The sequence below is a fragment of the Homo sapiens genome, chromosome 1 (genome assembly GCF_000001405.40).
Source record: "Homo sapiens chromosome 1, GRCh38.p14 Primary Assembly".
Taxonomy (NCBI): domain Eukaryota; kingdom Metazoa; phylum Chordata; class Mammalia; order Primates; family Hominidae; genus Homo; species Homo sapiens.
In genome coordinates, this window is record NC_000001.11 from 4,058,307 (window position 1) to 4,069,096 (window position 10,790).

General features: G+C 53.7%; 2 annotated features.

The window, feature by feature from the left end:
* Positions 108 to 608: an enhancer, noted in NCBI's record as "H3K4me1 hESC enhancer chr1:4118474-4118974 (GRCh37/hg19 assembly coordinates)". NCBI's record gives its function as "activates a minimal SCP1, AML or CMV promoter by ChIP-STARR-seq in primed H9 embryonic stem cells {active_cell/tissue: H9 hESC(primed)}" and the evidence as "EXISTENCE:reporter gene assay evidence [ECO:0000049][PMID:30033119]".
* Positions 609 to 1,109: an enhancer, noted in NCBI's record as "H3K4me1 hESC enhancer chr1:4118975-4119475 (GRCh37/hg19 assembly coordinates)". NCBI's record gives its function as "activates a minimal SCP1, AML or CMV promoter by ChIP-STARR-seq in primed H9 embryonic stem cells {active_cell/tissue: H9 hESC(primed)}" and the evidence as "EXISTENCE:reporter gene assay evidence [ECO:0000049][PMID:30033119]".

Below are 10,790 nucleotides of genomic sequence, written 5' to 3' on the forward strand. Positions count from 1 at the left end.
TGAATTTGGGGGCACCCAGCAAGTTCCCGTGTGTCCCGCCCACGCGGCAGTTGGGCCTGACTGACCTCTCTGAGGGAACATGGTGGCCAGTGGGGAGGAAAGTTCTGGACTAAGGAACCCAACACCCGCCAGGGTCCTCCCCCCGAAGCTTCAGAGATTCGGTGCTGCAGAACGGAGCACAAAGCCAGTCCGTGAGCGCTCACCTGTGGAGACACACCGAGGTCATCAGACATCCCCAAGGGGTTGTTGTCCCCAACTAAGAACCCATTTGACAGGTGTGTGGCCTGGCTCAGTTTCCCCAGATGCAGCGCTAGTGGTGAAGTTTTGCCAAACAAAATTCGTTAAACTTCACTTTCAGGGTGTACTGGGGGTGGGCGTGGAGGGAGGAGGAGGAGGGCGGGTTGTGGTCCCCGTGTCTGTGCGCCTTGGCTCATTGCTCCCCAACACTGACAGCCCCTCACCCCATTGTCGGATCTGTCCAGGGCTTCTAAGCCGGGGAGCACCCCTCACCTTCATGTCGGGACTCATGCCGCCCACCTGTGGACCCCTTCTTGGCCTCCAGGCCCCTCCCACATGTGGTTGTGGGTGGTGAGAAGGGGCCTCTGGCTGCAGTTGTGGTTTGGGGCCTCTCTTCCCCGGATGGCTCTGTTCCGGGGCAGTCACCACCTTGCTCTGGTTAGAGGCTGGATGGGAAGAAGGGCTGGTGGGGCTGAGGGGAGGCTGGCCCTGTCTTTTTGCCTCAGAGCTGGGCAGCAACTCCCACATGAGTATTTAGGGGAAATGCTGGTCCCTTGCAGAGAAGCACTCAGCACTCAGGGCTGGTTTCTGGACTCATGGGCCCTGGGGAGGGGCCAGGGGCCTGGTGACGGAGCCAAGCAGCTCCTGGAGACCTAGAAATGTCCCTGGGGAAGTGTCAAGTGGGCCGGGAGCTCAGGTGGTCTCGTGTCTAGGATGGGGACCTGCCTTGCAGCTGTGTGGATGTGGGGGTTCAGGGTGCCCCACCCTTCTAAACCTCTCAGGTTCAAGTGCATCGTCAGGCATGTGGTAACAGCTCCGATGCTGAGCAGCTGCCCTCGCCAAGTCTCCCTTCCTGCAGTTTGAGATGACAGCAATGCCCCGGGAGAGACCCCGTCCTCAGCACCAGGGCTGTCCATGCTCAGGGAGCCTGGGGCCTGCTAACAGGGCCACCAAGTCCCCACCCTTGTGAAGACCCCGACCCTAGCGGAACGGGACCTGCGCTAACACCCAGGCAGCCCGCGCTACCTGCCGCTCAGCTCTGGAGCCTCTCACGTCACGGACTTGGCAGCTGAACAACATGAAAACAATGCTATAAAGACACATGCACACGTGTGTTTATTGCGGCGCTATTCACAATAGCAGAGACTTGCAACCAACCCAAATGTCCAACAACGATAGACTGGATTAAGAAAATGTGGCACATATACACCATGGAATACTATGCAGCCATAAAAAATGATGAGTTCATGTCCTTTGTAGGGACATGGATGAAACTGGAAATCATCATTCTCAGTAACTATCGCAAGGACAAAAAACCAAACACCGCATGTTCTCACTCATAGGTGGGAATTGAACAATGAGATCACATGGACACAGAAAGGGGAACATCACACTCTGGAGACTGTGGTGGGGTGGGTGGAGCGGGGAGGGATAGCATTGGGAGATATACCTAACGCTAGATGACGAGTTAGTGGGTGCAGCGCACCAGCGTGGCACATGTATACATATGTAACTAACCTGCACATTGTGCACATGTACCCTAAAACTTAAAGTATAATAATAAAAAAAAAAGAAGTAAACTAAAAAAAAACAAATAAAAGGCAGCGCCTGCCGGGTAGAGAAGGGAAGGGTGAAATCAGAGATGGGGATGGGCGCTCCAGCACCCTCGGACCACGGCCAGGCCCTGCAAGCCATCCCTTCCTCTCTCTCCTGTTTCCCTTTCAGATCAAAGCCCTTCCCGGGAGAGAGAATCAGCCAAAGAGGAAGGTTGAAAAAGGAAAGGGGGAGGCGGGAGAGGGGTGGAGGCTTAGCACCTTTCGAGCACAGAGGCTGCTGGCGAAGGGGGAGAGGGTGTCCTTAAGAAGTGGCCAGAGGTGGGGCTGCCGTGGGGCAGGTTTCGCTCTCTCTCCTTCCAGGTCTCCATGCCCCTCTCGCAGGCCTGCGGCTCACAGTGATGTTAAGAGCAAAAAAACCTGTTGAGCCTCCCAGCTGGTATGGACAGGGTTTGAAGGAAGAGGGAACTCTTGAACCTGACGCTGCTGCTGATTGACCTGAGAGGGAGCTGAGTTTTCCAGGAAAAAGGAGGCGAGATGGGCAGGGTCGGAGTAAGTCCAGTTAAGGAACCCAAAGGAGGCTCTGGGCTTGGCCTGCAGAAGGATTGGCCGTAAGTGCGAGCAGGAGTTGGGGGGCATAGGGGCAGACCCCAAGGTTGCTGGTGGTCCTGACACTCCCGTCTGTTTCCACGAAGACCCTTGGACTTGCTGGGAGAGTCCCGGGGAGAGTCGAACTCCCAGTGCTCTAGGACACAGGCCCTCCTGAAACCACACCTAAACCTAAACTCTGGCTTTGGACCGAGGTCAGGGGAGCAGCTGGGCCCAGCAGGCGACATCTTCCAGCCTTTGGGACATGCAGGCTTTTGCCAACATATTGGACTTTGTGTGCCTCCTCACGGTGGTGAGTGGAATCACGGCCTCCAAAGATGTCCCCATCCAAGTTCCAGGACCTGGGCATATGTGGCCTTCCATGGCAAAGGGGCCGAGCAGATGTGCGCAAGGACCCTGAGATGGGAGAGCGTGCTGGGCCACCCGGTGGGCCTGGTGCAATCCCACGAGCCCTTAAGGGCAGAGAACCCTTCCCAGCGTGGTCAGCAGAGGAGGCATGGTAGGGGGCAGAGGCTGGGCGTGAACGTTGCAGGTGGAGGAGGGGCCACCAGCTCAGGAACACAGGCGGCCTCTAGAAGCTGGAAGAGGCAGGGACGTGGATTGTCCCCTGGAGCCTCCAGAAGGAACACAGCCCTGCAGACCCGCTGACTTCAGCCTTTAAGACTCTTCTCAAACTTCTGCCCTCCCTGACTGTAGGATAGTACCTGTGTGTTGTTTGAAACCACTATGTTTGTGATAATTTCCTACAGCAGCCACTGGGAACAGCCACTGGAATCACCTTCGCTGATTCATTCTTTCACCCACTCATCCACTCATGCACCCGGACCCGCAGCCTGTGCCCTGCCCTGTGCTGTGAGCACCCCGCACCGCGGGACCCAGCCGGCACCGAGACAGGAGGACGGGACTTGAAAGGAGTGAGCGAGGCATCTCCAGGGCTGGGCCTGGAGCCTCGTCCTGGGTAAGATGAGGGCCTTGCGGCCTCTTCTTGCGCCAGCCCTGCCCCCAGGAGCTGCCTCTGTGTCTCCCCTGTGTGGCCCGGCCTCTTGCCACCTGCCGCTGTCTCAGAAAATAGGCTGGGTGCTTTCTGGAGGCCATAATGACAGCTCATGGTTCAGGAGCAGCTTCCCAGTGTTGGTGCCTCACACCGGGTGTGACACACGCGCTGAGGAACCCCTCATTAGCAATGACAACCACAAAAACAAGGTGGACGGGGCACTGCGCAGTCATCCTCCTCTTACCCCTCACGGGGCCCCACAAATTATGGGTTGTGCTGCCCCCGCCACCAGGGTGACATGGAGGAGCAAACCCTGCATTGGCTCTGGGAAGGTTGAGGCGGAGGCTCAGGCTGGAGGCTGGCACCTGCGTTTTCATTACAGCAAAATCAGTATCCAGAGGTGGGAACCAGGGTTGGAGGGATGGGTCGGGGCATAGCGGGCCATCCTGAGCTCCTTGACCCAGCACAGAAGCTGACTAGGAAGAGACCCTGGGGCCAGCGGCACAAGCACCAGCTCAATGTCAGACCTGATCCGAGTTGGTTTCCACAGTCAGACACTGCTGCTGAGGGCAGGCCTGAATGACCGGTGGCGGCAGAGACAGCGGGATCTGGGGAAACGCCTGACAGAGAGGGCCCTGAGACCCTGGTTCTGGGGGGCAGTGTCTCTGAGGTGCCTTCCTGGAGTGGCTCAGGCTGAGAGAGGCTGAGCTCTTTCTGTCTCAGTCCATCTCTCTCCCCCCATCTGTCCCTCGCTCTCTCTGTTTCTCTCTGCCCATCTCTTTCTCCCCATCTGTCCCTCTCTCTGTTTCTCTCTGTCTCTGTCCCTCTGTCTCCGTCCATCTCTTTCTCCTCATCTGTCCTCGCCACTGCCCCCTACCCACTGTCTCTCCTCCTCCCTCTTCCCATCCCTCCCTCCACTGTGTGGACCAGCATGGGTGGAGCAGCAGGCTTCTCCGCTCAGCATACGCTCTGCCCACAGCGGCCGCTGGACACAGCCTTTGGGGCTGTGGCTGGCAGAAGTCTGTGGTCTTGGTTTTTTTCTGACTTTTCGTCCCCGCAGTTGTTCCTGTGGGGTTGGAGGCCGACCCACTGTGGACTTCAACTTGGCAGAGGTCCCACGAGACAGTGCCTTCCGGGAAGCCCAAGGAAGTGGCAACTTGGGATGTTCCCTGGTGTCCTGGGGGACATGTGTGGTGAGGGCCGTCCTCCTCTCCCCTGGCCTCACACCTGGGCGAGGCTTGGTCCCAACGCTCATTCTGTGACCTTTGTGAATCTTGCCATGGCTTGATGCCTGGTGGGGAAAGCTGGGACCACCCCAGGGGTTTCTGTGAAGCCTGAACGAGACTTGAACGCAGGTAGGGGCTCACCAAGGGCCTGGCCCACAGTGGCTGTGCCTCCGACTCTGGCGCTGGCTCTGGTCACTCGCTGTGGCTGCTCCGGCAGTAGCTCAGCGGATCCTTCATTCCTCCGGGCAGAGCTGGGCTCAGGCTGTCTTGCCTCCCAGGGCAGCCTCGGCCTCTGGCCTTCCTGTGGCCCGTCCATGGTCAGCTGTGGCAGGGCCCACGTTCAGCCCATGGAGGAGGAAAGGGCTCGGCCGTGGCTGTGCTTCAGGACCTGCTCCTGCAGCCCCGTGCCCTGCTGAGCCCCTCCTTTGTCCCCAGAGGGCTCGGCCCACCCTGCACACACCCAGGACTGGCCACTGGGCCAGCTGCTGCCGCCAGAGTCTCCCCTGGTTGTTGAGGATGCACAGCCACAAGAACCCCTTGCGTTTGGCAGCACTTTCACGTTCTCAAAGCCACACGAGAATGGCCCTCCAAGACACTGAGCAGGCATCATTATTGTGCCCATTCATCAGATGGAAAAACAGAGGTCCATGGCGGTCTGGAGTCACACAGACAGTGACTGCAGGAGGGGCCAGCCCGGGTCTCCCCACGCCTAAACCAGGGAGCCCTAAGAAGGAGTGAAGAAGGCATGAGAGGAAGGGGTCAGTGGTGGTCCCTGACCTGGGAAGGTGCCCCTAGGTCGGGCTGGGCTGGATGGACCTCCTGCCCATAGCCCCAGAAAGCCACCCTCAGGGCCTGGTATTCCCGCAGGGACAACCGGGTCAGTGACAGTTCTCTGGCTGAAGCAAAGAAACCAACCTTAGCTGAGAAAATGAAGAAAGGGGAGGGGGCAGAACTTACCGCTGGGACAACATGAGAAGCCTTGGGGTGGAAGAGGCCGCCGGAAGACCAGGCCCCAGAAAGAAAGGGGCCCAGAATTCTGTGGGTTCAGGCAGCAGCCTCCCCAGGGGCTCCAGCTTGAGGCATCCTCTGCAGGAACCCAAAATCCTGGGCAGGAATCAGGCTGGCTGCATCCCCACTCCTCGACAACCTGGGTACAGGTGTGCACTTGGCGGAAATGGAGGGGTCAGTTCCTCAAGAGGAGGATGGGGGGATCACTGCCTGAGGGGGGACTCGGGTGCTGCTCAGAGAAAACAGGCACAGACCCTCCCAGTAATCCTGGGCACACTCACAGTCACTCACTCTTACTCCCTCCCCACTCACACTCACACACTCACTTATTCACTCACACTAGCTCACTCACTCACATTTAGTCATTCACTCACAGTCACTCGCTCACTCACACACACACTTGCTCAGTCACTCACTCACACTCATTCACTCACACACACTTGGTCACTCATTCACTCACTCACTTATTGACTCACACACTCGCTCAGTCACTCACACACTCATTCACTCACACATTCAGTCACTCATTCACTCACACACTCACACTCAGTCACTCACACGCTCATTCATTCACTCATACTCACACTCATTCACTCACACACTTGCTCAGTCACTCATTCACTCAGTCACTCATTCACTCACTCATTTACTCACACACACTCACTCAGTCACTCACTCGCTCACTCATTCATTCACTCATACTCACACTCATTCACTCACACACTTGCTCAGTCACTCATTCACACTCAGTCACTCAGTCACTCATTCACTCACACACATTTACTCACACACACTCATTCACTCACACACGCTCATTCATTCATACACTCATTCACTCACACACTCACACTCAGTCACTCTTACTCCCTCCCCACTCACACTCACTTACACTCACTTATTCACTCACACTAGCTCACTCACATTTAGTCATTCATTCACAGTCACTCGCTCACTCACACTCATACACACTTGCTCAGTCACTCACATTCACTCACTCATTTACTCACACACACAGTCACACACACTCGCTCACTCATTCATTCACTCATACACTCATTCACTCACACTTGCTCACTCAGTCATTCACTCACACACTCACATACTCAGTCACTCATTCACTCACACCCATCCACTCACTCATTCACTCACACACACTCATTCACTCACACGCTCACACTTGCTCACTCATTCACTCACTCATACTCATTCACTCACAGTCACTCATTCACTCACTCGCACACATTCACTCACTTATTCACTCACTCGCTCATTCACTCACACACACTCATTCACTCACACTTGCTCATTCACTCAGTCACTCACACACTCACACTCATTCACTTGCTCAGTCATTCATTCACATACACTTGCTCATCACTCACACTCAGTCACTGATTCATTCACTCACTTATTCACTCACACACACTCGCTCAGTCACTCACACACTTGCTCAGTCACTCGTTCACTCACACTCACAGTCACTCATTCACTCACTCACTCACTCATTCACTCACACTCCCACACTTGCTCAGTCACTCACACACTCACATTCGCTCATTCACTCACACACTTGCTCAGTCACTCGTTCACTCACACTCAAGTCACTCACTCATTCACTCATTCACTCACTCACACTCATTCACACACACATTCACTCACACACTCGCTCACTCATTCACTCATACTCATTCACACACTTGCTCAGTCACTCATTCACACTCAGTCACTCACAGTCACTCATTCACACACATTTACTCACACACACTCAGTCACACACTCGCTCACTCATTCATTCACTCATACTCACACTCATTCACTCACACTTACTCAGTCATTCACTCACACACATACTCGCTCAGTCACTCATTCACTCACACTCATCCACTCACTCATTCACTCACACACATTCATCACACGCTCACACTTGCTCACTCATTTGCTCACTCACTCATTCACTCAGTCACTTATTTACTCACTTGCACACTCATTCACTCACTTATTCACTCACTCACTCGCTCATTCACTCACACACACTCATTCACTCACACTTGCTCATTCACTCACTCACTCACACTCAGTCACTCACACACACACTCATTCACTTGCTCAGTCACTCATTCACATACACTTGCTCATCACTCACACTCAGTCACTGATTCATTCACTCATTCGCTCACTTATTCACTCACACACACTCGCTCAGTCACTCACACACTTGCTCAGTCACTCGTTCACTCACAGTCATTCACTCACTCACTCATTCACTCACACTCCCACACTTGCTCAGTCACTCACACACACATTCGCTCACTCATTCACTCACACACTTGCTCAGTCACTCGTTCACTCACACTCAGTCACTCATTCACTCACACTCATTCACTCACACACATTCACTCACACACTCGCTCACTCACTCATACACTCATTCACACACACTTGCTCAGTCACTCATTCACACTCAGTCACTCAGTCACTCATTCACACACATTTACTCACACACTCACACTCATTCAGTCACACACACTCACTCACTCATTCATTCACTCATACACTCATTCACTCACACTTGCTCACTCACACTCATTCACTCATACACTCACATACTCGCTCAGTCACTCATTCACACGCTCATCCACTCACTCATTCACTCACACACACTCATTCATCACACGCTCACACTTGCTCACTCATTCACTCATACTCATTCACTCACAGTCACTCATTTACTCACTCGCACACTCATTCACTCACTTATTCACTCACTCACTTGCTCATTCACTCACACACTCATTCACTCACACTTGCTCATTCACTCACTCACACTCAGTCACTCACACACTCACACTCATTCACTTGCTCAGTCACTCATTCACATACACTTGCTCATCACTCACACAGTCACTGTTTCATTCACTCACTCACTTATTCACTCACACACACTGTCACACACTTGCTCAGTCACTCGTTCACTCACACAGTCACTCATTCACTCACTCACTCATTCACTCACACTCCCACACTTGCTCAGTCACTCACTCACACACTCATACTCACATTTGCTCACTCATTCACTCACACACTTGCTCAGTCACTCGTTCACTCACACTCACAGTCACTCACTCATTCACTCACTCATTTATTCACTCACACTCATTCACTCACTCACACACATTCACTCACACACTTGCTCACTCATTCACTCACACTGTCATGCATTCACTCACAGTCACTCATTCACTCACAGTCACTCACTCACACACATTCACTCACACACTTGCTCAGTCACTCATTCACTCACACTCACTTATTCACTCACTCACACTCAGTCACTCATTCACTCACTCATACACTCAGTCACTCACTCACACACTCCCTCATTCACTCACTCTCACACACTCGCTCAGTCACTCACTCACACACTCACACTCAGACTCATTCAGTCACTCACTTATTCACTCACTTGGTCACTCACACACTCACTTACATATTCATTCACTCACTGTCAGTCACTCACACACTCATTCATTCACTCACACACTCAGTCACTCTCACTCACACAGTCACTCATTCACTCAGTCACTCATTCACTCACACTCAGTCACTCACATATTCATTCACTCACTCACACTCACTCATTCACTCACTTGCTCACTCAGTCACTCATATACTCACTCACTCATTCAATTGTTCATTCGTTTGTTCACCAGACTCCTGCTGGTGGCCAGGAGCAGAGGGGCATGGAGGGGTGCACTGTCCAGGTAATATCAAGCTGGCATGGGTGGGGGTGCTGGGAGCCTGGGGAAGGGACTAAGGGACGGTCACTTGGGGACACGTCTTTCTGAGGTGAAAATGGCCCTGAGGAGCCCGAGGGACCCAGAGCCTAGTGTTCAGCGCCTCCCCTTGTGTGAGTTTGTGTGACAACAGGTGGTGGGGGCAGGTCTGGGGTCCTCATGGTGGCAAGGACCCAGGGATTCAGGGAGGGAACTCATTTTGCCCTGGATGATACCTACGCATAAGTCACAGGAGCCTGGGGCACTGCCCGCCCAGCCCGTGGCATCCCATTACCCCATCCCAGCACAGGGGCTACCAGGCCAGGAAACACTAGAATCCCATAGATAGCAAGAAAAATGTAGGAAGACCCCAAGCAAGCTTCCTGGTCATGAGAATGTTCAGTTGCAAGCTGTGTTATGGGCACAGGGAGAGGAAGGAGGCAAATGCCCTTTCTGAACCCTGAAAGAAACCGAGGGTCTGGAACAGGGCTGGAAGCCCAGAGTGGGCCTGGATGTGCTGCCTCCCACCTTGAACATCGAGCGTCTGCCACTGCTTCCGGCTGAGGACTTGGCTAGGTCATCAGGACCGCAGGGTCTCTCTGGAAGGGGAGAGGCTGAGACAAGGCACTTCTTGGCTGGGCCGAGGAGGATGCTTGCCCTTCACTTGCTGAAAAGGGGAACCCTCTGTTTACACTCTTGTGTGTATTCCAAGCTCGGTGTGCCCTTCCCATGTGCCAGGGGCTGAGAACGTTACAACCTCATTATAGAAAAGAATGTTCCCAGATTCCATTCATCTTACGAAAAGCGTCCCTGTTCTTGACATGCCGTGTAAGGACGCGCTTTTAAATGAAAACGAGGCTTTCAGCAAAAAACCAATCTGTTTAAAACAACCTGTGGAGTTATGAGAGATGTGCTTTTGACTAATGAGCGCAAACTTTATGCAAGCAGAGTGCTCAATTATGGATGAGCTAATTACATGGGCACGTCGTGTTTGGATTGCGGAGATGTCTCTACCTCTCTTCCTCAGACGAGGCTCCGGTCCGCTAGTGGTGATGATTAGTGAAACCTTGGTCTCATGTTATGTTGCTAGGCATAAATAATCACTTAATTTTGTGACTCAATCTCCATCAATCACATGGGTGTGCCTTAGGGGTTTTCTATCAGTGCAGGATGCAGGAACCCAGGAAGGATCCCTCGGCCTCTGCAACACCTGGTTGTGATGGGGCTCAGCCTGGAAGTGTGGTCTCTGGGTGTAGTGAGAGCTCCTCTTGGGAGCAGGCTGTGCTGGCAGAAGCTCCCTCCTTCCTGTCTGCAGGGTGGCTCTCCGTGAGCTCTGCAGGGTGGCTCTCCGTGAGCTCTGCAGAGGCACCCTGTGGACACCAGCTGAGAA